The sequence below is a fragment of the Homo sapiens genome, chromosome 19 (genome assembly GCF_000001405.40).
Source record: "Homo sapiens chromosome 19, GRCh38.p14 Primary Assembly".
Classification (NCBI taxonomy): Eukaryota; Metazoa; Chordata; class Mammalia; order Primates; family Hominidae; genus Homo; species Homo sapiens.
Window position 1 is genome coordinate 12,461,019 of NC_000019.10, and position 27,082 is coordinate 12,488,100.

Here is a 27,082-nt window from a genome sequence, read left to right on the forward strand (position 1 = left end):
GGAGGGGGGAGGGATAGCATTAGGAGATATACCTAATGTAAAAGACGAGTTAATGGGTCCAGCACACCAACATGGCACGTGTATACCTATGTAATAAACCTGCACGTTGTGCACATGTACCCTAGAAATTAAAGTATAATAATAAAAAAACTTAATCTGAAAATCTATAATTGCAATGGAATATTTTAATATATCCTTGCAGAAAATTAAATAGACAAGTGATAGCATACAAGTTATTTGAAAAGTTAATAAAATATTTCTAAGAAACATCTACAGAAGCTTTTGTTCAACAAAAACATACACATGGTTTTTAATCACATATAATGAAACAAAATTGAAAATGTACTGAGAGATGACATTCAACTGTAATAGGAAACACCGACAATCTGCTTGATATTAGGAAGGTGCTTATTCTTACACTGTAGGACTGGGTAAGTGCATTCCCTGCACAGTGCAGTGGAGAAGCAGACACCCATGTAGTTCTTTTTGACTGCACCACTGTAGTTGTCACGGTGGAATCAGAAACACATAGTCACTGGTACTGTTAACAAAACATGGTGTTTATTACATAAATAATACCTTGGATAAATTCAACCTAGAGATGAGGTGAGTCAGAGCATCAGAGAATATTCCCAACCTTAAGAGTCTAAATGGTTGCCTGGTGGACACATTAGAGTTTCTAGGAAAATCCAAACTGCAGTGCATCTTTGAGTAGAACTTTTGAAGACAATTTGTGGAAAACTACATCTTTGAAAATATGGCAGCTGGGGCCATGCACAGTGGCTCACGCCTGTAATCTCAGCACTTTGGAAGGCCAAGGTGGGCAGATCATGAGGTCAGGAGTTTGAGACCAGCCTGGCCAACAATGATGAAACCCTGTCTCTACTAAAAATACAAAAAAAATTTAGCTGGGCTTGGTGGTGGGCACCTATAATCCCAGCTACTTGGGAGGCTGGGGCAGGACAATTGCTTGAACCCAGAAGGCAGAGGTTGCAGTGAGCCAAGATCGTACCACTGCACTCCAGCCTGGGCGACAGAGCAAGACTCCATCTCGGAAAAAGAAAGTAAAGAAAGAAAAGAAAGGGAAAGGGAAAGAAAGAAGGAAGGAAGGAAGGAAAATATGGCAGTCAAGCAGTTAGTGGTGGTTCTAAGAATACTCTCAATTGGCAGAGCAAAGGATCAGGACAATGTGGTGGAAGCAGGTGTCCCTGAAGCTCCTATGCATCCATCTGTCTCCACATATGGTGGCTATAAAACCTGACTAATGCTTTCTTCACTTCTGCCTTCCATATCTCCTGCAAGTAGGCTATTGGTGAATTATACCGTGGAGCCATAAAAGGTTAGATTATAGAAAACATAGGTCACAACATAACCCATGTTAACACAATCCAGGACAGCCATTTCCAGCTATAGGTTATATGGTTCTATCTCAGATCTCTCTTATTAATACAAAGTCTATTATTCAAATCACAGCCAGAAGGAATTACAAACAGCAAACAGAAGATGAAAATAATAATTCCAATGAGAGAGTATACTGTATGATAAACTTTGCAGACTCAAAAATTTATTATGATTATTTTTTAGCATAAAAAATAGAAAAAAGGGTACTCTGTCTTCCTCTAAAAAAGCCTCTTTTGGTCAGAAAGATGAAATACATATAATGATATCTAGTACCTGCCACATAAGGCCAGTAGGAAATCCTAAAAATTACCAAATTGTCATTTTTTGATGGCCCATTACAGCACAACTAAAAAATACATAAAAATCAAAACTGCTAGCTTATTATAAATACACTTCAATTCACTCATGAATCTAACAGACTTCAATATGGAAAGACAAAATTTCAGAAACTGATTTAATGAAAAAATACTATCAATTCAACTTGTGTACAACTGTATAAGAGCTTACAGAATTATCTCATCTCAGTGTTCTTTTGTGAAAGTAATAGAAATCCATAATTCAGAGATCCATTTTAAGAATCAGTAACTGATAATATGTTTTATCACATTTCTGACATGTTGTGAATTTTCTAGAACAATATACATGAATTAATTTGCATCAGGCTTTCCCATATTATCTACATTTATACAGTACCTCCCTAGTGGGAGTTTCAACATGAGATTGAAGTTTCACACATAAGGGAGTATCACATGAGCATTTGTTAAAATGGAAAACATTGCTATATCTCACTTTTATAGGATTTCTATCCAGTCTGCATTCTCACATATTAGTATGTGGGCCAACTGAAGGCTTTCTCACAATGTCTATATTTAAGAAGTCGCTTTCCAGTGTGAGTTTGTTCATGGTTTCCAAGTAAACTAAGACAAATAAAGGTTTTTCTACATTTTTTACATTTATAGGGTTTTCCACATTCTTTACATTTTTAAGGTTATAAATTCTTTACATTTATAGGGCATATGAAAATTCTTTACACTTCATATGCCTTCTCATGGTCCTTAAAAGGTCATATGACCATTGAAGGTTTTCCCACACTGCCTACATTCGCAGGGTTTCCTGTCCAGTATGAATGCTTCCTCATATTCACATGTAAATAACTGAAGGTATTCCCATGTCTTATAGGGTTTCTCTGAAATATGAATAATTTCATGTCTTCAAAAGGAAATGGGGGCCGGGTGTGGTGGCTCACACCTGTAATCCAACACTTTGGGAGGCCAAGGCAGGTGGATCGTCTGAGGTCAGGAGTTCGAGACCAGCCTGGCCAACATGGCGAAACCCCATCTCTACTAAAAATACAAAAATTAAGTGGGCATGGTCGTTCACACCTGTTGTCCCAGCTACTCAGGAAGCTGAGGCAGGAGAATCGCTTGAACCCAGGAGACAGAGGTTGCAGTGAGCTGAGATCACTCTACTGCACTCCAGCCAGGGCAACAGAGTGAGAATTCAACTCAAAAAAAAAAAAAAAAAAAAAGGAAATAGGACAACTGAAAACTTTGCCATATTGCTTATATACATAGGGTTACTCTCCACTATGAACTCTTTCATGTATTCGAAAGGAACGGGAACACTTGAAGGCTTTACCACATTGTTGACATGCATAGGGTTTCTCTCCAGTGTGAGTTCGTTCATGGATTCGAAAGGAACGTGAGCAACTGAAGGCTTTGTCACATTGTTTACATTCATAGGGTTTCACTCCAGTGTGAGTCCTTTCATGCATTCGAACAGAACTAGAACAACTGAAGGCCTTACCACATTGTTTACACTCATAAGGTTTCTCTCCAGTGTGAGTCCTTTCATGTATTCGAATGGAACTGGAACAACTAAACGCCTTACCACACTGTTTACATTCATAGGGTTTCTCCCCAGTGTGAGTCCTTTCATGCATTCGAAAGGAACTGGAACAACTGAAGGCTTTACCACATTGTTTACATTCATAGGGTTTCTCTCCAGTGTGAGTCCTTTCATGCATCCGAAAGGAACTAGAAAAACTAAAGGCTTTACCACACTGTTTACATTCATAGGGTTTCTCTCCAGTGTGAATTCTTTCATGCATTCGAAAGGAACTGGAACAACTGAAGGCTTTACCACACTGTTTACATTCATAGGGTTTCTCTCCAGTGTGAGTCCTTTCATGTATTCGAACAGAACTGGAACAACTGAAGGCTTTACCACATTGTTTACATTCATGGGGTTTCTCTCCAGTGTGAGTTCTTTCATGCATTCGAAAGGAACTGGAACAACTGAAGGCTTTACCACACTGTTTACATTCATAGGGTTTCTCTCCAGTGTGAGTTCGTTCATGGATTTGAAAAGAACTAGGACAATCAAAGGCTTTCCCACATTCCTTGCATTTATAAGGTCCATTTCCAGTGTGCATTATCATATGTCTTCGATAGCTTGGAAGAGAAATGAATGCTTTCCCACATTCCTTACAATCATAGGGTTTCTCTCCTGTATGAATTCTTTCATGTTTTCTAAAGGAACTAGGAAAACTGAAGGCTTTCCCACATTTTTTACATTTATAGGGTTTTTCTCCAGTGTGAATCCTTTCATGACTTCGAAAGGATGTGGGACAACTAAGAGCTTTACCACATTGCTTACACTGATAGGGTTTTTCCCCAGTGTGAGTCCTTTCATGTATTTGAAAAGTTTGGTAATATCTGAAAGCTTTTCCACATTGTTTACATTCATAGGGTTTCTCTCCAGAGTGAGTTCTTTCATGATTTCGAAAAGAACTGGGATGACTGAACGTTTTCCCGCATTCTTTACATTTATAGGGTTTCTCCCCTGTGTGCATTCTCATGTGTCCTCGAAAGGTTGTGTGATAAATGAAGGCCTTCCCACATTCCTTACATTCATAAGGTTTCTCTCCAGTATGAGTTCTTTCATGTATTTGAAAGGAACTGGGCCAACTGAAAGCCTTACCACACTGTTTACATTTATAGGGTTTCTCTCCAGTGTGAGTTCTTTCATGTATTCGAAATGAACTTCGAAAGCTGAATCTTTTCCCACATTCCTTACATTCATATGATTTCTCTCCATATTTGTGATATTCATATGATCTATGTTCAGTATGAGATCTCATGTGCCTATTAAGAGATGAATGACACATATAGTCCTTTCCACACACACTACATTCATATGGTTTTACTCTAGTAAAAGTTTTCTTGTTTGGTTTAGGATTTGGAGTCTGACTGATGGTTTCTCCAAACTGACTACCTTCTTTCCTTTCACAGAGCCTCTCTACCATATGACTTCTGTGAGAAAAAAACAAAACAAAACGCACAATTAGTGGCTTTTTAAAATTAATAATTTTATAATTATTGATTATTTCACAATCATTAGTAGGTAGTAGAATTACACTTTTGCCATTTTCAGGGAAAGTGTATGTCATGAATGCTCAGGAAGAGTACTTGACCAGAGCTATTATCAAAACAATAAAATTCATCACATAGAGTTTATTTCTTTTTTTTTTTTTTTTTGAGACAGAGTCTTACTCTGTTGCCCAGGCTGCAGTGCAGTGGCACAATCTTGGCTCACTGCAACCTCCGTCTCCTGGGTTCAAGCAGTTCTCCTGCCTCAGCTTCATGAGTAGCTGGGATTACAGGTACCCACCACCACACCTGGCTAATTTTTGCATTTTTAGTAGAGGCAGGGTTTTGCCATGTTGGCCAGGCTGGCCTCAACCTCCACACCTCAGGTGATCTGCCCACCTTGGCCTCCCAAAGTGCTAGGATTACAGGCATGAGCCACCATGCCTGGCCAAAATTCATAATATAGAGTTTCTTAATATTGTTTCCAGGTGAAATATTTTTCAAATACTGAACATCTGTACCATTTTTAAGAAAACGTTCTTGGCAAAAATTTTCAAAAAATAAATAAATATGAAATGGGGCTTATTTGTTTCAATTATTCATTTTTTAAACCTAATGGCATGCTAAGATTCTCTCATAAGACAGTATTTTCTTTTGTAAGTACAACTCACCTTAGCTTTCTCCCCTGATTTTTGTGATCTTCAATGTTCTTCTCCTCCCAGTTTTCCCCTAAAATGCAGGCCCAGAAAAATCATTAAACCTATTCGAAATTACAGAAAAATTATTAGATTCTAAATCTAGGATGAGCTGTTATCCTGTCTGATTTATTTACCAAAGTATTCCCTTTCAACATTCTAAACCTTGGAACCTTGCTGATGAGCAAGAAACACTTGTTCTCTAATTGACTAAGTGAGGGAATAATTTCATTCTTACCTATAGAGGCCAAGTTAACAAAGGTTTCTTGCATCACATCTCTGTAGAGTTTCTTCTGAGAGGGACCCAGCAAAGCCCACTCCTCCTGGGTGAAGTTCACAGCCACATCCTCAAAGACCACTGAGTCCTGAAACATCCCACATGTATAGGGGAGGATGGGTGAGACTGACAGCACTGGGGATATAAACTCAGTTCATTAAAAGTTCATATATAATTTTCTCCATTTATCCTGTAACTTTGTCATCAGAACTCAAATCTTCGTCCACACTTACTTCTTCATAAATTTAACACCACCATGAATACTTGGAAATTATTTCTACATTTTTAGTATGATCACTTCAAGTCTTATGCTCTCCAATGACAGGATACACAGCATCTTAGAGAAATGCTATACGATACTCTCCCTCTCCCTCTCCCCACGGTCTCCCTCTCCCTCTCTTTCCACGGTCTCCCTCTGATGCAGAGCCGAAGCTGGACTGTACTGCTGCCATCTCGGCACACTGCAACCTCCCTGCCTGATTCTCCTGCCTCAGCCTGCCGAGTGCCTGCGATTGCAGGCGCGCGCGCCGCCACGCCTGACTGGTTTTCGTATTTTTTTTGGTGGAGACGGGGTTTCGCTGTGTTGGCCAGGCTGGTCTCCAGCTCCTAACCATGAGTGATCTGCCAGCCTCGGCCTCCCGAGGTGCCGTGATTGCAGACGGAGTCTCGTTCACTCAGTGCTCAATGGTGCCCAGGCTGGAGTGCAGTGGCGTGATCTCGGCTCGCTACAACCTCCACCTCCCAGCTGCCTGCCTTGGCCTCCCAAAGTGCCGAGACTGCAGCCTCTGCCCGGCTGCCACCCCGTCTGGGAAGTGAGGAGCGTCTCTGCCTGGCCGCCCATCGTCTGGGATGTGAGGAGCCCCTCTGCCTGGCTGCCCAGTCTGGGAAGTGAGGAGCGCCTCTTCCCGGCCGCCATCACATCTAGGAAGTGAGGAGCGTCTCTGCCCGGCGGCCCATCGTCTGAGAGGTGGGGAGCGCCTCTGCCCCGCCGCCCCGTCTGGGATGTGAGGAGTGCCTCTGCCCGGCCGCGACCCCGTCTGGGAGGTGAGGAGTGCCTCTGCCCGGCCGCAACCCCGTCTGAGAAGTGAGGAGACCCTCCTCCTGGCAGCCACCCTGTCTGGGAAGTGAGGAGCATCTCCGCCCGGCAGCCACCCCATCCGGGAGGGAGGTGGGGGTCAGCCCCCGCACGGCCAGCCGCCCCGTCCGGGAGGGAGGTGGGGGTCAGCCCCCGCACGGCCAGCCGCCCCGTCCGGGAGGGAGGTGGGGGGTCAGCCCCCGCCCGGCCAGCCGTCCCGTCCGGGAGGGAGGTGGGGGGTCAGCCCCCGCCCGGCCAGCCGCCCAGTCCAGGAGGTGGGGGGCGCCTCTGCCTGGCCGCCCCTTCTGGGAAGTGAGGAGCCCCTCTGCCCGGCCACCACCCCGTCTGGGAGGTGTACCCAATAGCTCATTGAGAACGGGCCATAATGACAATGGCGGTTTTGTGGAATAGAAAAGGGGGAAAGGTGGGGAAAAGATTGAGAAATCGGATGGTTGCTGTGTCTGTGTAGAAAGAAGTAGACATGGGAGACTTTTCATTTTGTTCAGTACTAAGAAAAATTCTTCTGCCTTGGGATCCTGTTGATCTATGACCTTACCCCCAACCCTGTGCTCTCTGAAACATGTGCTGTGTCCACTCAGGGTTAAATGGATTAAGGGCGGTGCAAGATGTGCTTTGGTAAACAGATGCTTGAAGGCAGCATGCTCGTTAAGAGTCATCACCACTCCCTAATCTCAAGTACCCAGGGACACAAACACTGCGGAAGGCCGCAGGGTCCTCTGCCTAGGAAAACCAGAGACCTTTGTTCACTTGTTTATCTGCTGACCTTCCCTCCACTATTGTCCTATGACCCTGCCAAATCCCCCTCTGCGAGAAACACCCAAGAATGATCAATAAAAAAAAAAAAAAAAAGAAATGCTATACGATTGAAGCAAATATTTCCAGTTTAAGACCAACAATTCCTTGTAAGAAAAATACTTTTTATCTCCTGCTTTATCATGTACTATATCACTCAGCATCCCATGAAACACAGGGTCAAATCTGTACGAGATTTTTTTTTTTTGAGACAGAGTCTTGCTCTGACGCCCAGGCTAGAGTGCAGTGGCGCGATCTCAGCTCACTGCAAGCTCTGCCTCCCGGGTTCACGCCATTCTCCTGCCTCAGCCTCCTGAGTAGCTAGGACTACTGGCGCCCGCCACTATGCCCGGCTAATTTTTTGTATATTTAGTAGAGACGGGGTTTCACTATGTTAGCCAGGATGGTCTCGATCTCCTGACCTCGTGATCCGCCCACCTCGGCCTCCCAAAGTGCTTGGGATTACAGGTGTGAGCCACCGCACCCAGCCACGAGATTTTAATGAATAAGTATATACTGAAGAACTGTACATTTTTTCTTCTATTCCCATGATTACACTGAAAAGCCAGAGGGCCCGTGCAACTTGCAACAACATCCTGCTGGCCATGTTGTACCGAAGTACTGCAGACCATTAGAATTAGTCAGATCCAACTGGTGGAGTGAAAATATTCTTTTAGTGAAATATTAATTTTAACTTGTTTGTATAATATTTATCACAGACCCAGTGTTTCTTTTTTCTCCCTGTCCCATTTGATGGAGGCAGGAGGTTACTGGGATGTTAGAGCACAGGCAGGAGGAAAAAGGCATGGCAACTTAGATCATAAAAATTAAATCTTCACCAGGCGCGGTTGCTCACGCCTATAATCCCAGCACTTTGGGAGGCTGAGAAGGGTGGATCACGAGGTCAGGAGATAGAGACCATCCTGGCTAACATGGTGAAACCCTGTCTCTACTAAAAATACAAAAAAATTAGCTGGGTGTGGTGGTGGGCGCCTGTAGACCCAGCTACTCAGGAGGCTGAGGCAGGAGAATGGCGTGAACCTGGGAGGCAGAGCTTGCAGTGAGCCGAGATCGCACCACTGCACTCCAGCCTGGGTGACAGAGCAAGACTCTGTCTCAAAAAAATAAAATTAAGTCTTCAAAAAATCCCCACACTCATGAGCCTCAGGACTGCGACCACTGTTAGCACACATAGGATGGAGATGATAAGATGCCAGAACAGCTCTTTCCCTCAGAAACCTAACAGTGTACCCTGAGACTTAACGAATTTGAGTAACAGGTTAACAGTTTCAATTTGCAAGGGAGTTCACCCAAGTCCACAATGGTTTCATACTGAATTTGCCCATGATTACAAAATTCAAAGGGTTCAGCAGTGCTGTCCTCCAAAAGGATATGAAATTCCCTTTCTCCAATTTCAGAAAGAAGTGATCCGCAAACAGCTACTCTAGAGGCTGGCCATCCTCCCAACGTCTCTCATTTTAGGCTCCCGTGAGGTACGTGGTGGCATGAGATCCCGACACCAAAGCATAGGAATCCCTCAGTGGCATAATTCCCCTAAATCTTGGCCTTTGAAAAAGATCATTAACCTACTGATGTCCATATGCAAAGGACAGAAAAAATGCTCCCAAACAGCAATCCTGATACTAGAATTTACCTATTTGGTAAAGTAACAGAAATATCCACACCTTTCTTGTTGTTGGGTCAAAGGAGTAAAATGAGCTGATCACGTAAGTTCTAATTGTTCCTTGTACAGTGGTTCTATGGCACTTGTTCAAAGAAATTCCTACTACCTAGTGTGCAGAAGACTGTTAACATTAGTAAAATGTTAACCTAAGACTACTTATCTTTAAATGCCTGAGGGTATATATTCAATTCATAAAAAGTTCACATATGATTCTGTGGTCTCCAAACATTTGTTGTCCTTCACTGATATCTGGGAAGTGAGAATTTGGGAGGGACCCCGCCAACCTAAGTGATAAAGAGTGGCTTAGTGTGTGGCTGGGTGCAGTGGCTCACGCTGTAATCCCAGCACTTTGGGAGGCTGAGGTGGGCGGATCACAAGGTCAGGAGATCGAGACCATCCTGGCTAACACAGTGAAACCCCGTCTGTACTGAAGATACAAAAAATTAGCTGAGTGTGATGTCGGGAGCCTGTAGTCCCAGCTACTCGGGAGGCTGAGGCAGGAGAATGGCGTGAACCCGGGAGGCAGAGCTTGCAGTGAGCCAAGATCATGCCACTGCACTCCAGCCTGGGCAACAGAGCGAGACTCCACCTCAAAAAAAAAAAAAAAAGAGTGGCTTAGCGTGCCTAAATGGTTTATGGAATCAATAGAGTATATATTGAACTCCTTTTTTCCTTCTTAGAGTCTGGACTTTTTCACATGCCAGGCAGAGGATGCCTACTTGATCCGCCCCCCAAAAGCACTGTGAGCACTGGGTCTCTAATGAGCTTCCCTAGCAGACAATATATCATATCACAACTTGTTGCTTGGGGAATTGAGCCCATTCCATGTGATTACATCAGGAAAGAACATTTAAAGGCTTGGTTGCATCTGCTTTCCTCCACACCAACTATGACTAAATAAGGCTAATAAAGGATATTTAATAATCCTAATTTTAAAAATGTTATTGGGTAATGTCAAAGCAGAATTAAATTAAGGTGGAAGTTGGTACATGTTCTCAGAACAAACTCAGTGTCAACAAGATGCCACTGCTCCCAAATGATATCTTTATAAAATTCTACAAATCCCTAAAATAGACTTATAAAATTCTTAAAATAGACTTATAAAATTCTACAAATCCCTAAAATAGTCAAGAAAAACTACTTTTCCAAACCTAAGAGGAACAATAAATGTCAAACAATGGGTAAAGTCTTTTGAAGAGCAACATAAATACTTGCCTAGTATGTATCAAGGATTTTCAAACTATTAACACTCCAAACAGCATGACACACAGAGAGCTAAATAGAACAAGGGAGGGGAAAAGTGTCTTCAATGGACTGGCATTTATAAGGAAAATTGATTAATGATAGAGCAACCATTGTAGGGTAGTGGAAGAGATCACTAACACTTCAATATATGCAGAAGGGACACACTGTTGTCTAACTGGAAAAAGCATTGCATCAGCTCTTTTCCATAGACAATAATCAATTTAATGTAGATTTAAATGTGAATAATATAATTAAAACTGTTTCAAAAGTCACAGGCAAACTTTTTTAAATGCAAGAGTAGGGAGAATTTTCTCATGTAAGAGTAAGCCATAAAGGATGAGACTGAAAAGTTCAAACATACTAAAATCAAGAAAGTTAAAAGACAAATCACAAAGCAGGAAAAAAATATGTGACATACATGCAATATAAATGAACTAGTATGCAGAGTAAAAATAAATGAACAGTCAGGCATGATGGCTCACACTTGTAGTCCTAGCTACTCAGGAAGCTGAGGCAGGAGGATCATATGAACCCAGGAGTTAGAGGCTGCAGTAAGCTATCACACCAGCCTGGGTAACAGGGCAAGACTCTGTCAATAAATAAGTAATAAAATAGCCAAATAAATAAAAAGTGAACACATGATTTAAAAACGGAAACACAGGCCAGGCACGGTGGCTCACATCTGTAATCCCAACACTCTGGGAGGCCAAGGCGGGTGGATCACCTAAGGTCAGGAGTTCAAGACCAGTCTGGCCAACATGGTGAAACCCCATCTCTACTAAAAATACAAAAATTAGCCAGGCATGGTGGTGGGCACCTGTAATCCCAGCTACTTGGGAGGCTGAGGCAGGAGAACTGCTTGAACCCGGGAGGTGGAGGTTGCAGCGAGCCCAGATCGTGCCACTGCACTCCAGCCTCGGCGACAGAGCGAGACTCCATCTCAAAAAAAAAAAAAAAAAAGGAAAAATAATGAAAACATATTTAAGAGAGGATGACACACCATATATATGAAAAAAGGTCTGGCTGGGCACGGTGGCTCACGCCTGTAATCCCAGAACTTTGGAAGGTCGAGGCGAGCAGATCACTTGAGGTTAGAAGTTTGAGACCAGCCTGGCCAACATGGCGAAACTCTGTCTCTACAAAAAATACAAAAATTAGCCAGGTGTGGTGGCACGGGCCTGTAATCCTGGCTACTCAGGTAGCCAAGACACGAGGATTGCTTGAGCATGGGAGGTGGAGGTTGCAGTGAGCCACGATCGCGCCACTGCACTCCAGCCTGGGTGACAGAGTGAGACTCTGTCTCAAAAAAAAAAAGGAAAAGGTACATCTCGCTCCTTCCTTGATACAGCCAAATGAAATACCAAATAGATCCAATTTCTTACATATTAGAAGGACAAAAATCAGTCAATTAGCTACTCCCAAGTATTGATGACCACTGCCAATAGACAAATAGTTATGCATGAATGGAAGAAAGATCAACTGATACACTCCATTGCTATTTCCTGTATATTTGAACTTGACCATAATCTATAGCACAGTGATTTTTCTCCAACATCCAGAGAAGTTATTGTGTATTTGTACTTAGACACAGATACCAAAACAATAGGATCAGTATTTTTCACAAGAGCAAAAAATGAACTGGAAAAAGCCCAAACACCACCATCAATGGATTGGATGATAAAATTGGATTCCCCCAGCCTGTCACTATCATGTGAAACACAGAGGCAAAACCACTCAAAAACCTTTTCATTGTTAATTCCACTAATACTCATGTATTTAAAGTTCAAATAAGGCTCAACTAAAAGAACATCACATAGTGAAATGGAAGATAAAGGTATAAAGAATAATCAAATAATCAAGACTGTGGCCATCTATGAAGCAGGATGGAGATAAGCCAGAGGAGAACATCAATAGACTAATTAATGACTGACCAAAGCTCACCTATAAATTTATATTTTTAAATCACTTATTGAGGCAATGATTGACATGAAAAAGTTGTACATATTTAATGTATACAACTCAATGAGTTTGGGGATAAGTATACACCTATGAAGCCCTCAGTATCATAAGGACATAGACATATTCATCACAAAAGTTTCTTTCCCCCTTCATTATTATTACTATTTGTGTGTCTCTCTATGTGTTAAGAATACAACATAATATCTATTTTAGAAATTTTAAGACTAGGCACAGTGGCTCACACCTATAACCCCAGCACTTTGGGAGGCCAAGGTGGGAGGATCACTTGATGCCAGGAATTCATGACCAGCCTAGGCAACATAGTGAGATCACATCTCTAGAAAAAAATGTAAAAATCTTAGGTGGGTGTGGTGGCATTTGCCTGTAGTCCCAGGTACTTAAGAGGCTGGGACAGGAGGATTGCTTGAGCCCAGGAGTTTGAGGCTGCAGTGAGCCACGATTGTGCCATTGCACTCCAGCCTGGATAATGGGGCACGATCCCATCTTAAAAATGAATACAAATTTTTAAACATTTTTAAAAGGAATGTTTAACTATAAAATCATTGTGTTGTTAGCTATAGGTACTATGCCATATAGTAGATCTTCAAAGCTCATTTATCTGCATAACTGAAGCTTTGTATTCTTCAGCTTCATCTCCCCATTTCCCCCTTCCCCTGCAAATTACCATTCTACTCTATGCTTCTATGAGTTTGATTATTTTAGATTACATATATAAGTGAGACTACAAAGAATGTGCCTTTCTGTTTGGCTTATTTCACTGAGCATAATGTCCCCTACGTCCATCAATGGTGTTGTCAATGGCAGGATTTCCTTTTTTTAAAGGCTAAATCATATTTTATTTTATGTAAACATCACACATTCATCTGTTGACACACATTTAGGTTGTTTACATATCTTGGCTGTTGTGAACAATGATGCAATGAACATGGGAGTGCACATATCTCTTCAAGATGTTGATTTCAATTCCTTTAGATAAATATGGAGAAGCAGAGTGCTGGATCATGTAGCAATTCCTTTTCTAATTTTCTGATAAACATCTATGCTATTATCCATAATGCCTGTATCAATTTAAATTTAAACTTCTACCAACAGTATACCAAGGTTCCCTTTTCTCTAAATCCTCACCAACACCTGTAAGACTATAAATATATGTCTTAGCAGAAACCTTGGATGTCAAGAGAGTGGGACAATACATTCAAAGTGTTAAGCTAATTAGCAACACAAAAAGATATGAAAGTATAAAACTCATGGGTAAAGGCAAAAGTATAGTCAAATCCAGAATATTCTTATACATAATGGTGGTACAAACATCACTTTCAACTCTAGTATAAAAGCTAAAAGATGAAAGTATTTAAAGTGACTATAGCTACCATAACTTGTAAAATGGACACTGAATATTAAAAAGATGTAAATCCTGGCCAGGCACAGTGGCTAACACCTGTAATCCCAGCACTTTGGGAGGCTGAGGCAGGCAGATCACCTGAGGTCGGGAGTTGGACACCAGCCTGTCCAAAGTGACAAAACCCTGTTTCTACTAAAAATACAAAAATTAGCCGGGCATGGTGGTGGGCACCTGTAGTCCCAGCTACTTGGGAGGCTGAGGCAGAAGAATCGCTTGAACCCAGGATGCGGAGGTTGCAGTGAGCCAAGATCGCACCACTGTACTCCAGCCTGGGCAACAGAGTGAGATTCCGTCTTAAAAAAAAAAAAAAAAAAAAAAAAATCTAAGCATCTACATGAGGAAAGCAAGAAAATATGAGCAAATTAAACCCAAAGTAAGCACACAACAGAAGAAATAGTAAAAAGAGAAATTAAACAAAACCAAAGGTGTTTCTTTGAAAAGATCAATATATTTGATAAATGTATGGTTAAGCTAACTGAAAAACAGAGAACAGAAATTACTAATATCACAAATGTAAGTGGGAAAAATAAAAATGAAAAAGCTATGGGCAAAATCCAACATGCATTTATGATAAGAAACTGGAGATAGACTTTCCTCTTTTTGAGAAGCAGTATTTATAGGAAACCTGCAGCTAATATCATATTTAATAGTGAGAAAATAGATGCTTTCCTGGTAAGATGAGGAAATGGGCAAAGATGTCCCCTCTTACCACTCCTACTCAACAGATTGTACTCAAAGTGTAACTAATGAGAGGAGAGGGGAGGAGAGGAGAGAAGAGATATAGATTGGGAACAAAGAAATATCACTGTCTTTGTCGCATGTGACATGATTGTCTAAGTAGAAAATCTCAAAGAATCCACAACAAACTCCTCAAACTAGAGGTTGAGGATATAATCTTAATATACAAAAGTCAATTGCCTTCTTACAGACTCACATTAGTATAGTATAGACTCACTGAGTCATCTGATTTTCAACAAATGACCAACAGCAATTCAATGAAAAAAGATAGCCTTTTTCAACAAACAGTGTTGGAAAAACTGAACATCCACATGCAAAACACAATGAAAAAAACACAAATCTAGAAACAGACGTTACACCTTAAACAAAAACTGGCTCAAAATGGATCACAGAACTAAATGTAAAATCTAGGCCAGGAGCAGTGGCTCATGCCTGTAATCCCAGCACTCTGGGAGGCCATGGCAGGAGGATAGCTTGAAGTCAGGAGTTTGAGACCAGCCTGGGCAACTAAGTAGGACCCCATCTCTACAAAAAATACAAAAATTAGCCAGGTGTGGTGGTGCACGCTTGTAGTCCCACCTACTCAGGAGGCTGAAGTGGGAGGAGTGCTTGAGCCCAGGAGGTTGAGGCTGCAGTGAGCCAAGATTGCACTACTGCACTCTGGCCTGGGCAAGAGGGAGAACTTGCCTCAAAAAAAAAAAAAAAAGTAAAGTTATAGGATACTAAAAGTTAATGAAGAAAATCTAGGTGACCCTGGGTTTGGTGACAAATGTTTAGATATAAGCAAAATCCATACAAAATAAATCAGTAAGTTTGACTTCATTAAAATGCAAAAGCTCCTTCTCTATGAAAGCTCTGTGTTAAGAGAATGAAAAAGACTCTAGAGCCTTTTGCGGTAGGGGGACCCACTTAAGGTGGGCCAATTTGCAATTAACAGCATAAAGTGGTTAAGTAAAATTTATAAACAAGGAATATGTTGCCTCCAGAACATCAAAAGAACCTAGAAGATGCTGTGGGTAGTCAGAGGGACAATAGCTATTTCATAGTAGTGTCAGGGATGGAGCGGCCCTCCTTTTACCAAATGGTTTTTAGGAACTTAACCAAAACATAAAGGTCTCTTATTTTATATATGGGGCAATGGACTTTTTGTAAGCTCTATTTTTTTTTTCAGTATTTATGTGTCCTGAATGAATGCCAAAACAATGTCCTCAGACAAGGCTGTCATTAATGTAATATCATACCTGTGTTCTAGAGAAAGGTGGATGCAGTTCAGATTTTGCCTGCAAAGACTGTGCAACAGCAAGGCTGTTGAGGTTCCCTTGGGAAACTAGGTAAAGTTATATAATTAGCCTGTGAGATGGTGAAATCTGTGAGATCAGCTGGATGGTGTCAGTAATTTCCATGTTGGATATTGGTATAGGGGCTTAATGGGTGGGACCACAGCATTAAGGTTATGGTAATCCATTGTGGGTTGCCATTCATTCTCTCCAAGTTTAAGAAAGGCCAAACTGTACTTTTAAAACGAGAAGCACGGGGAATAATCACTTCCTCACTAAACAAGTTTTACATAATACTTTTCAACCCTTCAAGGCCCTGTTCAATTTATATTGAGCCATCATAACTAATTTAACTGGGGAGTAAGTTCCACAGGGTCTCATTCTGTCAAGCCAGTTTGTAAGTGCCAAAGATTTAATTTAAATTTCACTTATGACTCACTGGTTTAGAGTTTACCTGTTCATTCTGGCGTATTTTAGGACACTGGGTGCCATGAACATGGGGAATTTAGGCACAGTTATGATGGCTAAGATGAGACATACTTATTTGTCTTCTATTTTATATTCAGTAACTCCCTTAAGATTATCAGGGGATACCTTGCTTAAATTTTAGTGGGTCTCCCAGGTATAACCATAATTTGAGCCCTTGTATTGGCTAATCCTATAGTGTGTTAATTAATACATTACATAAGATGTTAAAATTAATACAGAACCTATGATATAGAGGCTCTTTTATCTTTTTTGCCGTCTAAATTCCTTTAGTCTATTTGGAATTTCCAATTGGGTCAAATTGTGGACCTCTTTTTCAGCATTTTTTTCTTTTGTTCCTTTCCTTCCTAACATGTTTGTTTTGTTTTTGTTTTTGTCCCTGGATATATTTTGACAGCAAAATCCTCTCTACAGGGGAGGGGTGTTCTTTTCCCTCCAGAGAGCCACAAATCACTATTATCAGGCTTAGGGGCCTGTCCCTCATGGTTGCTTTATAAAGTTTAAGCACCTGGGCCTTAAGCTGGCTTTGAATGAACCCTTTGCAATGCTGCAGAGGAAACATGAGTGTGCCCTATAATCCTGAGGGTCAGCATCCTTGCTGCAATAGAGCAACAGCAGCAACACTTAAGGGTCCTTGGGAGCCCTGTGCTATTAGGAGTGTGGACTCGGCCCACCATCTAACAGCTGCCTTTCCCCCTCTCTTTTGTCTCTTTTTCAAAAATGACTGCTCTGGCAGGTAGTCTTTCCCATGAGCACCTTGTATGCCAGGTCAGCAGCAGTCACAGCTTCACTCTAAAACACACAGATAAGTCCAGGCCAAGAAACACTACCCAGGACCACTTTAAGGAGTATCAAATCTCATATTCCTCTTCAAAAAAGCCAAGGAATTATCAAAACGGCCAACTCCAGTTGGCTAAACATAGAACCCAGACTTGGCAGGGCTCAACATGCAGCACAGAGTAGCACAACTCAAAGTAGTAGCTTCCCAGAAAGCAGCAGCTGAAAGTGCATGCTGGCCATCAGGCAACAGAGCAGGTAGCAATTCAGTGCAAGAGAAGACAGACCCATGGGGTGACAGTCAATGTCTGAACACCATGCTCATGGTAACAATTCCTGTGTCGTTCCAATGTTGACACTAATAACAGCGTGGAGAACAGACACCAAAGGGTATGAAAAGACTCACTACTGTGATCATTGAGGTCTTGGGGAAAGCAGGGCAGGCTGCCCAAGCAGGTGTGACATAGCTTCAGAGAGCAAAGAAAGCCTCCTGGCCTGGGTTTTTATTGTAGTTTGGGGGTGGGGCTACAAGAGAGTACCTGCTCAAGGGCAGGAGCTTCTGTGGTTTGAATTTCCTGCTCCCAGACTTTTTCAGCTTGCCCAGGTGTGCAGCACGAGGAGAAGAGAGAAGGGTGACGCTTATGATGTGCACAGCCAAAATCAAAACATGCAGAGTCCAACTACTCATTACAGAACCAACATGAGTATGAAAAACATGCATTTGCAATTGCTTATTTTTATAAAAAGAAACACTGACAGTATGCTTAAGAAATTATTAAAAGGCCAGGCACAGTGGTTTATACCTATAACACCAGTGCTTTGACAGGCTGAGGCAGGAGGATTGCCTGAGCCCAGGAGTTCAAGACTAGCCTGAGCAACATAGTAAGACTCCATCACTACAAAAAATTTAAAAATTAGCTGGGAGTGGCAGCACACACCTGTAGTCCCAGCTACTGAAGAGGCTGAGGTGGGAAGATCACTTGAGCCCAGGAGGTTGAGGCTGCAATGAGCTATCATCATGTCATTGTACTCCAGCCTGGGCAACAGAACAAGACCCCATCTCAAAAAAAATAAAAAATTATCAAAAGTGAGTATTTGGGGGGTGGCTAGAGCAAGTGCCCTGGCTGGACTGGACCAGAATATGCTGGCAGTGAGTCTTTTCAAGTTAGACTCAACTATTGTGGATTTTTTTCTAACTTCCACATGCATGATTTCTTTAAAATAAACAGCTAAATTTAAATAAGCCATATTTTACTACTTAATAATCTTCATTTTTAATCAACTTACTTTTGCTTTTTAAATTTTGATTAAAATTTTCTACGTATGAAACAATCCTAAGACTTAATCCAGGCCGGGTGCGATGGCTCACGCCTGTAATCCTAGCACTTTGGGAGACCAAGGCAGGTGGATCGCGAGATCAGGAAATCGAGACCATCCTGGCCAACATGGTGAAACCTCGTCTCTACTAAAATACAAAAAAATTAGCCGGGCGTGGTGGTGCACGCATGTAGTCCCAGCTACTCGCGAGGCTGAGGCAGGGGAATTGCTTGAACCTGGGAGTAGGAGACTGCAGTGAGCTGAGATTGTGCCACTGCACCCCAGCCTGGTGACAGAGTGAGACTCTGTCTCAAAAAAAAAGACTGAATCCAGCTGGGTGTGGTGGCTCATACTAGGGAATTTTGGTAAGCCAAGTTGAGAGGATTGCTTGAAGCCAGGAGTTCAAGACCAATCTGGTCAAGAGAGTGAGACCCTGTCTCTACAAAAAAGAATATATATATATAATTAGGTGGGCATGGTGGCTCATGTCTGTAATTCTAGTTACTTGGGAGGCAGAGGTGAAAGGAGTTCAGGGCTGTAGTGAGTTATGATTGTGCCACTGTACTCTAACTAGGACAACAGAGCGAGACCCTGTTTTTTAAAAAAAAAACAAACAAAAACTTAATACTTTAAGCACTGACAATTACAAAAGTGAAAAACTTTCAAATCTCTTTCTAACTATAATGACAAGGTGCATTATTATGTGTCCTACCATCTCACACTGGGAGGTGCTATTGGGAAGGAGTAGCATATTATAATGCATTAGCATTTTATCTTAAGTATGTTAGGATTTTCAAATATATATATAAGCTTTGAGTAGTTATTCTACCAAATAAAGAAGTTCAGGCCAGGTGCAGTGGCTCACGCCTGTAATCCCAGCACTTTGGGAGGCCGAGGCGGGTGGATCATGAGGTCAGGAGATCAAGACCATCCTCGCTAACACGGTGAAACCCCGTCTCTACTAAAAATACAAAAAATTATCCGGGCGTGGTGGCGAGCGCCTGTAGTCCCAGCTCCTCAGGAGGCTGAGGCAGGAGAATGGCGTGAACCTGGGAGGCAGAGCTTGCGGTGAGCCGAGATCGCGCCACTGCACTCTAGCCTGGGCGACAGAGCAAGACTCCGTCTCAAAAAAAAAAAAAAAAGTTCAATTGCATTTTCCTTTCAGTTCCAGTGGAAATTCATTTGCAATAGGAATCATATGGACTTTGAGGTTTTTTCGTTTTTGTTTTTGTTTCTTGAGACAGGGTTTTAATCTGTCGCCCAGGCTGAATGAAGCACACTGACTCAATTTTGGCTCACTGCCACCTCTGCCTCCCAGGCTCAAGGGATCCTCCCATCTCAGCCTCCTGAGTAGCTGGGACTACACCCAGCTAAAATTACCACACTTGGCTAATTTTTTTTTTTTTTTGTAGAGACAGGGTTTCGCCATGTTGCCCACGCTAGTCTCAAACTCCTGGGCTCAAGCAATCCACCTGCCTCAGCCTCCCAAAGTGCTGGGATTACAGGCATGAGCCACGATGCCTGGCCTCTTTTAAATTTCCAAGTACTCTATGACATGCACATACAAAAACCGATCTAAAAATGAAAAATGTACCTGAGAATGTAAATACATTCATCTCTTATCTTGAGGTTCTCTTGCCTAAAAGAAACAAATATTCTGTTTGGTTCCAGAGTTTTCTTTTTTTTTGTTTTGAGATGGAGTCCTGCTCTGTTGCCCAGGCTGGATTGCAGTGCACAATCTCGGTTCACTGCAACCTCCCCTGCAACCCGGGGTTCAAGCAATTCTCCTGCCTCAGCCTCCCGAGTAGCTGGGATTACAGCCACCCACCAAAAATTACATGTCTGGTTAATTTTTATATTTTTAGTAGCGACAGGGTTTCACCAAGTTGGCCAGGCTGGTCTCGAACTTCTGACCTCAAGTGATCCTTCTGCCTCAGCCTCCCAAAGCGCTGAAATTACAGGCGTGAGCCACCACACCCGGCCTGGTTTCAGAATTTTCTTGCCTTAGTTGCATCATACCTTTCAATCGACTTACATTTTCAAACCCAAGAAACAAAATTTAACACACTCACATATGGAATAACATTAAAAAGTGTTAACAGAAACTAGAATTCAGCTGCTGTAATAGTCAGCAAATAAAGGAATCCAAAGGGAAAAAAAAACACCAGCCTGGACACAGTGAGGATCTACAAAAAATTTACAAATTCAGGTGTGACAGTGCACACCTGTAGTCCTAGGTACTTGGGAAGCTGAGGTGGGAGGATCATTTGAGCCAAGAAAGGTGTTCGAGGTTACAGTTAGCTATGATCACACCACTGCACTCTAGTCTGGGTGACAGAGTGAGACACTGACTTAAAAAAAAAAAAAAGGGAAGGAAGGAAGGGGAAAGAAAGAAAGGAGGAAGGAAAGGAAGAAGGAAAGGAAAGGAAGAAGGAAAGGAAAGGAAGAAGGAAAGGAAAGGGAAAGGAAAGCCAAGCCACATCTGTAATCCCAGCACTTTGAGAGGCCAAGGTGGGAGGACTGTTTGAGGCCAGCAGTTTGAGACCAGCCTGGCCAACAAAGTGAGAACCCACCTCTAAAATACACACACACACACACAAACACACACACACACACACACACACACACGCTCCCTCTCCCTCTCCCTCTCTCTCTCCCTCTCCCTCTCAAGTCAGCTCAGACTAGCAGACTGCTTCTCCACAATTCAGAAGGAAAACCCACACTCAGAAAGCTAAACACATACACAAGCTTGGGGCCCACATTCTTGCTGTTGGGCAACAACCTTTAGAGTGAGACAGTCCCTGGTGACAGAGGGCAGGGGCACCTGAGGAGCCAAAGGAATGAACTCAGCGAGCTCCACACATTCCCTCACCCCTGGTGACAGGGAAATCGCCCCTTCAATTGTTGTAAGTGAGGAAACTCTCAACTGGACTGAGATTAAGGTTCTGACCCAAATGAACTCCCCAGTTCATTCATCCTGTGTCCAGGAGACAGATCTCCTGGCCTTTACAGACTTTCTCACTATAGAAAAATTACACTGAGTGCACCTACACAACAGATGCAAAACTCAAACCTAATGTCTAAAAATAGGCCCAAGGAAACCACAATTATGCCCTCAGGAAGGGCATCACTGGATTCAGCCAATCCCCCAACGTGCATTCAGATCCCCAGCTTTCCAGTGCTCAGCAGCTTCTCTCAGTACAAAGGGCTCCTTCCACAGTAGGTATGAGCAGGTAGGACACCTGCAGGGGAGGCTCCCTAGGAAGAAACAACTGGGCCTTCGATTACATCCCTTGGGAGACCCAAGGGTTGGTCTTAGAGCTTGGAGTCACTGACCTGAGTCCTCTTTGCTCTCCAGTCAAGTGACCTGGACCACTACTGATATTTACATGAGACAAACCCTGTGTTTGAAGAAATCAAAGGGGAGGCTGAGGCAGGTGGATAACCTGAGCCCAGAATGGAATTCCATTTGAAATCACCGAAAAGGAAAGAACAGACCTGAGGAACTTGCTATACATTCTCAGAAGAAAAAAAGAGAAACAAAAATTTTTAATAAATGCAATATCATACTGGGATATTTCATTATTATTATTTTCTGTTTTTGAGACAAGGTGTGAGACCTTGCTCAGCCTGGAGTGCAGTGGCATGATCAAGGCTCAAAGCAGCCTCAACTTCCCAGGCTCAAGCAATCCTCCCGCCTCGGCCTCCCAAGTAGCTGGGACTACAAGTGCAGGCCATTACGCCCAGCTAATTTTTTTTTTTTTTTTTTTTTTTTCTAGTAGAGATGAGGTCTCTCTATGTCACCTAGGCTGGTCTTGAACTCCTGAGCTCAAGCGATCCTCCTGACTCAGCCTCCCAAAGTGCTGAGATTACAGGCGTGAGCCAACGCTCCTAGCTTGATATTTTATTATTTTCTGAAACCCATCTCTTTCTTGCCTCTTTGGAAATATTTTACATCCACTCTAAAGGTTTATTTTATTTTATTTTTTTATTTTTTTGAGACAGAGTCTCACTCTGTCGCCGAGGCTGTAGTGCAGTGGCGCAATCTCATCTCAACTGCAACCTCTGCCTCCCGGGTTCAAGTGATTCTCCTGCCTCAGCCTCCTGAGTAGCCGTGATTACAGATGTGCACCACCACGCCCGGCTAATTTTTTATATTTTTAGTAGAGACGGGGTTTCGCCATGTTGGCTGGGCTGTAGGTCTCCTAATTACGTATATTTTACATTTTTTGAGAATCAATTAAGTGAGTAAATCTTTTCAAGGTGATAAGCCCAGGGAGGGGAAGTGCTGCGCTGGAAAGGACAGATCTCCCAGAAAAGTTTCCAAAAAGGAGACTCAACCCAAAGGAGTTCCCATAGGATGTCAGGTCCCAGGAGAGATACTGGCAAGAGAGGCACAAGCATTTTACACGAGGTAGCTTCAAGTCCTTCTCCTCTGTTTTCCTCTCATATAAATACCCCAAAGCATACGTTAAATCTTTTTAAAAGAACCATCCATTCCTCTGTACAAAAAGGATAATTAAAATACTGCGTCTGGTTGAAATAACGACGTTGTGAACTGGAGAGAAGACATTGGCATTTGAAAGAGATCTAGAAATTTAGGGATTTAATCCCAGCTCTGGGAAGAGCCAGGCTGGAGGACACGGTCGTGGGTTTGAGATCTGGCTTCCCATACACTTGGAAACCTTGAGAAACGAGTCCTCCCTTGGGAAGAAAAGAGGGACTGAGGACCCCACACAACACTGCTCCTCCCACGCACGAACCCCACGACCGAGACGGGATTCCCTCCATGACCCTCCCGTGCCCCAGCACAATCTGGGGAGACGCGAGGCTGCGGGCTCGGAGCTGCCCAGAGAGGGCTCCGGGACTGGGGCCGCAGTCGCCGCGCAGGGACTTGACAAGACGTCCGGGGTCCCGGCTGCCGGCCCAGCCCCATCCTGCGGCCAAAGAGACCGAGGGCCGAGCTGCGCCAGGAGGACTCGGGTCCACAGACCCGGGAGACAACGGCGGGGAGGCCTGGGTCCCACCACAGCCAGATCCGGCCGGTTTCAACCCGCCCCTCTCTCCCATCTCAAGACCCCCAGCCCCGCACACTTACCATTTCCCAGACTCTGGGATGTCCTGGTGTTCTGTTTACCTCTCCCGCGGCCAGCACAGGTCCTACCTCCACCTGAGGCCCTTCCTCCACCTGAGGGCCTTCTGGGGTGAGGAGACCCCAGAGCGGAGCGCAGCGGCTGGTAGCCACGCCCTCGCCGTTTGCGCAGCGCCCCTCCGCCCGCCTTCCCGGCGGCGCCCCTGATTGGACATTGCACTCTTGGACCCGCCTTCGTTGCCTGAGTGACAGCTAGTAGGGAAGTCGCGTCTCTAAGCAACCTGCATTCGTCCGGGGTCAGGAATCTGTTCCCCTGCCACGGATATTTGCGTCTAAGCAGAATTTGTTAACGTACCCGGGGTCGGGCACTGGTGTCTTCCTGCAGCTCCTTCTGAGCGCGGAGACACAAGCGTGCACAGCGCAGGAAATTCCAGGCTCAGTTTCCAGAAAAAGGCTCTTTGTCCACAGCGAAAAAGGACGCCCGGGCCATGCCAGACTAGAACGGAAGGGTCAGACGCTCCCAGACTTAGCATAAGGCTGCGAGGCCATTCATGGATTTCTGACTCTTGTTTACAAATACAGACACTTAGAGTGACAGAGTGACCTCATCATACCTAACAAAGAGTGACTACGTTTTAATCTTTGACAACTGACAGGGTTTAGGCCGTCACCCATCCCTTCCCTCCCCCCACACTTTGCTCTAGTGGGAAGTTTGGACCCCACAGCCCTAGTCTGAGAGAAGGAGTTCCTTTTTTTTTTTTTTTCGGTAGAGATGGCGGTGGTGGGGTGGTCTCACTATGTTGCACAGGCTAGTCTCGAACTCCTGGGCTCAGGTGATGCTCCTTGGCTTCCCAAAGTGTTGGGATTACAGGCATGAACCACCGTGCCCAGTGAGGAATTATTCAGTTAAACCCAAAGCCATGAGATGTGTTCAGTAAAACTGAACACTGGAAGGATATTTATTTCGGACCAGTTTTTGACTATGTCCCTAGAGAACTTTTGTGGATCCTTTATGTTTGTTTGGTTTGTGGTTTTTGTTTTTGAGACAGGGCCCTTCTTTGTCCCTCAGGCTGGAATGCAGTGGTGCAATCAGAGCCCCCTGCAGCCTCGACCTTCTGGGCTCAAGCAATCCTCCCACCTCAGCCACCTGAGTAGCTGGAACCTCAGGCACGTGCCACCATGCTTGACTAATTTCTTTCTTTCTTTTTATTTTTATTTTGTAGAAACAGCATCTCACTATCTCACCCAGGCTGATCTTGAACTCCTGGGCTCAAGTGATCTGCTGGCCTCAGCCTCCCAAAGTGTTAGGATTACAGGCATGAGCCACTGCACCCAGCCCCTAGAGAATTTTGAAATGTAAATGGCTATGATATCGATAAGGCAATTAATTCCATTTTCACTGAGATTATTTAAAAAACCACAAAAGATTATGTAAATTTGGCATGTACTAGGAAACTCAATATACTTAAGATATTGGATCAAACCTACTAATGGGCAGGGCATGATGGCTCACACCTGTAGTTCCAGCACTTTAGGAAACTTAGGTGGGAGGGCTGCTTGAGCCCAGGAGTTTGAGATCAGCCTGGGCAACATAGTGAGGCCCCCCCCTCCCCCATCTCTAAGAAAATTTTTTAAAAATTAGCAGGGCATGGTGGTGCACACCTGTAGTCCCAGCTACTGGGGAGGCTGAGGCCCGAGGATTGTTTGAACCCAGGAGGTCAAGGCTACAGTCAACTGTGATCCTGCATTCCAGCCTGGGTGACAGAGTGAGACCCTGTCAGAAGGAAGGAAGGAAGGAAGGGAGGGAGGGAAGGAAGGAAGGAGGGAAGGAGGGAAGGAGGGAAGGAGGGAAGGAGGGAAGGAGGGAAGGAAGGAAAGAAGGAAGGAAGGAAGGAAAAAAAAAGGAAACCCCTGTAGCCTTTGGCTGTCACTGTCCTATCTTCCCATCTTCCTCCTCCAAGCCTCTGTCCTAAGCAACCATTAATTTACTTTCAGTTGCTATATAGCTTTCCCATTGTAGACTTGGAATGGAATCATATACTATGTGTTCTTTGTGAGATTAACTTCATTCACTTAGCATAACTGTTTCAAGGGACATTTACATTGAAGTTTGTATCAATACTTCATTTGTTGTTTACAGTAAAACAATATTTCATTGTACCAATATAGCCCATTTTGTTTATCCATTCATCCATTAATAGGCATTTGGTTTGTATCCACCTTTTAGTTGTTATTAATAAGGTTGCTATAAACATCCATGTACAAGTTTTTCTGTAGACATAGGATTTCATTTGTCTTGGGAATACACTTAGGAATGGAATCGATGGGTTACATGGTAATTCTATCTTTAATCTTTGAAGAGCTGCCAGACTCTTCTCCTCTCCTTTGGGAAATTCTATTACACACATATTGGTCAACTAAATAGTGTCCTGCATATTTCTCAGGCTCTGTTCATTTTTCTGTTTTCTGTTTTTGTTTTTTTAAGATGTAATCTTGTTATGTTACCCAGGCTGGACTGCTTCAGCCTCCCAAGTAAGTGGGACTACAGGTGTGCACTAGCATGCCCAGCTTAAAGAAATAATTTCTATTTTGATATGACACCTGCAGATCCCCCTCCCTCCCCCAAAAAATCTTTTTTTTTTTTTTTTTTTTTTTGAGACGGAGTTTCACTCTTGTTGCCTAGGCTGGAGTGCAGTGGCACAGTCTCGGCTCACTGCAACCTCTGCCTCCCAGGTACAAGTGATTCTCCTGGCTCAGCTTCCCGAGTAGCTGGGATTACAGGCACCTGCCACCATGCCCAGCTAATTTTTTTGTATTCTTTATAGAGACAGGGTTTCACCATGTTGGCCAGGCTGGACTTGAACTCCTGACCTCAGGTGATCCGCCCACCTCGGCCTCCCAAAGTGCTGGGATTACAGGCCTGGGCCACCACGCCTGGCCCGAAAAATCTTATTCTCCAGTTATCTCCTGAAAAACAGTAGGCCTACAGTCTACACTATATCTTGATTAAATTCCTAGATCTCTTCCCAATTGATTTTCACTTCTTTTTTGAAACAGACTCTCACCCTGTCACCCAGGCTGGACTGCAGTGGCGAAATCTCAGCTCACTGCAAACTCCACCTCCTGAGTTCAAGCGATTCTCCTGCCTCAGCCTCCTGAGTAGCTGGGGACTACAGGTGTCCGTCACCACTCCAGCTAATTTTTGTATTTTTAGTAGAGACCGGGTTTCACCATGTTGGCCAGGCTGGTCTCGAACTCCTGATCATAGGTTCACGCCATTCTCCTGCCTCAGCCTCCCGAGTAGCTGGGACTACAGGCGCCTGTCACCACACCCGGCTAATTTTTTTTGTATTTTTAGCAGAGCTGGGGTTTCACTGTGTTAGCCAGGATGGTCTCGATCTCCTGACCTTGTGATCCGCCCCCCCTTGGCCTCCCAAAGTGCTGGGATTACA

At 43.5% G+C, this 27,082-nt stretch overlaps 1 protein-coding gene across 1 annotated transcript; it reads right to left on the bottom strand.

The window, feature by feature from the left end:
* Window positions 1–165: 165 nt before the first annotated feature.
* ZNF709 (zinc finger protein 709) lies at window positions 166–23,798 on the bottom strand. Its single transcript, NM_152601.4, has 4 exons — window positions 23,637–23,798; window positions 5,706–5,832; window positions 5,444–5,501; window positions 166–4,715 (listed from the first exon to the last, which is right to left on the bottom strand). Exons 1-4 carry the CDS (start codon window positions 23,637–23,639, stop codon window positions 2,978–2,980), a joined length of 1,926 nt encoding a protein of 641 aa, NP_689814.1. The 5' UTR covers window positions 23,640–23,798; the 3' UTR covers window positions 166–2,977.
* Between the last annotated feature and the right edge of the window lie 3,284 nt (window positions 23,799–27,082).